At 42.6% G+C, this 2296-nt stretch overlaps 1 pseudogene; it reads right to left on the bottom strand.

Annotated features, from left to right (window-relative positions):
- On the bottom strand, positions 332–1269 carry RPS2P11 (ribosomal protein S2 pseudogene 11; annotated as a pseudogene).

Here is a 2296-nt window from a genome sequence, read left to right as displayed (position 1 = left end):
ACTTAGCTGTAATCGTTTATCATTTTTTTGTTTGTTAGCTGGACTTTTATAAAGGGTAACATCCTTTCATAAACTACTTGGTTAGCCTGAAGTACTGTTCATTCAGGGAAGGCAGGGTAAATGCTTGATTCTCCCTATTTGTTTTCAGTTTTAAAAATAATGAATTTGTTCTCTAGCATTATCCAAAGGTAATCAATGAGATTACTTTGTATCATTATGAACTCATAATGAGTTCATATGGGTTTAAATACATGAGATATGTTTCAATCCATTTCAGTTTTTATCCTTTTTTTTCAGGCTTAATTCACTTTATTTTTCTTAAATAAAAACCCAGGCTTAATTCACTTTATTTTTCTTATATAAAAACCTTTGTTGTAGCCACAGCTGGAGCCTGGGTCCGCGGCATGGAGACTCTGGCGTGGGTCTTGACGAGGTGGTCATTGAATTCCTGATCGGGGGACTTGGTGAATACAGTCTCCTTCCAGAGGTCGGGGGTCAGGTAGCTGTAGGTCTTAGAGATGGCATCAAAGGTGGCCTTGGTGAAGTTGCCCAGGGTGGCAGTGCAGCCCCGGGCTGAGGTGTAGCAGTCATCGATACCAGCCATCATGAGCAACTTCTTGGGCACAGGCACCGAGACGATGCCAGTGCCCCTGGGTGGAGGGATGAGGCACGCCAGCACAGAGCTGCAGCAGCCTGTCACCTTGCAAGGGACGGTGTGGGGCTTGCCGATCTTGTTCCCCCAGTAGCCTCTGCGCACGAGGACAATGGAGAGCTTGGTCAGGATGATGGCTCCACGGATGGCAGTGGCCACCTCCTTGGAGCACTTAACACCCAGACCGACGTGGCCATTGTAGTCCCCAATAGCAACAAATGCCTTGAACCTGATGCGCTGGCCAGCACGGGTCTGCTTCTGCGCCGGCATAATCTTCAAAACCTCCTCCTTGAGAGAGGCCCCCAGGAGAAAGTCAATGATCTCGGATTCCTTAATGGGCAGAGAGAAGAGACAGATCTCCTCCAGGGACTTGATCTTCATGTCCTTGACCAAGTGGCCCAGCTTGGTGACGGGCATCCACTTCTTATCCTCAGCCTTGCCTCCATGAGCTCCGCGGTCTCAGCCCCAGCCACGTCCATGGCCGCGACCCCGGCCCCGGATGCCACTGCCGAAACCTCCGCGGAACCCAATGCAGTTCCCCATCCCAGGGTCCCCAGGGCCTCCCCCTCGCCCCGCTGCACCGGCGTCATCCACCATTTGGTGCTTTCTCGGAGAAGCTCAGTTTTTATCCTTATTGACACTCAAATTATCCTGTTTTTGGCCAATGGAAATCTCTTCAACTTGGCTTCTGAGCCCTTTTGATTATTATCCCAGTAGTCTCTGCTAGCTTCCCTGCTTTCTAGAATGACAAGATGTACCATTTTGTACATTTCCTGCCCCAGAACTGCAATCTGCCTCTCTGAGGAACCTTTGTGTTTGTTTACTGGGAAATGGTATTTAGAGGCCACAGTCTGGGTACTAGGGGTTATCTTTTTAAGATCATATTTGGTACATACGAAAGAGTATATGTATTATTTATGTAATTATGAAGCATAATAGTAACATGGCTGCCTATCAGCCACAACCCAACTGAAGAATTGGAACATTATCAACAAGAGGTATGTGCTCCTCCTTTAACTGAATCCTCAGACTCCATCCAAGAGGGTGAATTGTGTATTTATTATTTTCTTGCTTAAAAAAAGCTTTATCACATATGTATGTATTCTTAAGTATACATGTTTAGCTTAGTTTGTTTTTGAGCTTTGTAAAATTGATATAATATTTGTTGTCTTCTGGACCTGTCTTGTTTTTACCAATGTATTTTTCTAAGATTTATCTATTTTTTTAAAGCTGTAGTTCATTTATTTTCGATGCTGTATAATATACCATTATAATATACAATGCTGTATAATATACCAAAATAAATATACAATTTATTTTATCCATTCTCCTGTCTGTGGACATTTGAGTTGTGTTCAGTTTTTGCTACTACAAATATTTAGCCAAGAGAGTGCTGTTACAGGCCTCCTTGTTCACAGCCTCAGAAGAATGTGCAGGAGTTTGTGTGGGGCAGTGGTTATCGAACATTTTAGTCTCAGGATCCCAAAGAGCTTTTGTTTATGTGAGTTATATCTAAATATATTCACTATATTAGAAATTAAAGCTGAGAAAAATGTATTTATTAATTCATTTTAAAATGATTAAGAAACTCATTATATGTTAACATAAATCACACACTTTAAATGAAAAATAACTATTTTCTGA

The sequence above is a fragment of the Homo sapiens genome, chromosome 1 (genome assembly GCF_000001405.40).
Source record: "Homo sapiens chromosome 1, GRCh38.p14 Primary Assembly".
NCBI lineage: Eukaryota > Metazoa > Chordata > Mammalia > Primates > Hominidae > Homo > Homo sapiens.
The sequence above is the reverse complement of the archived record's forward strand: the minus strand, read 5'-3'. Positions and strand labels throughout refer to the sequence as shown.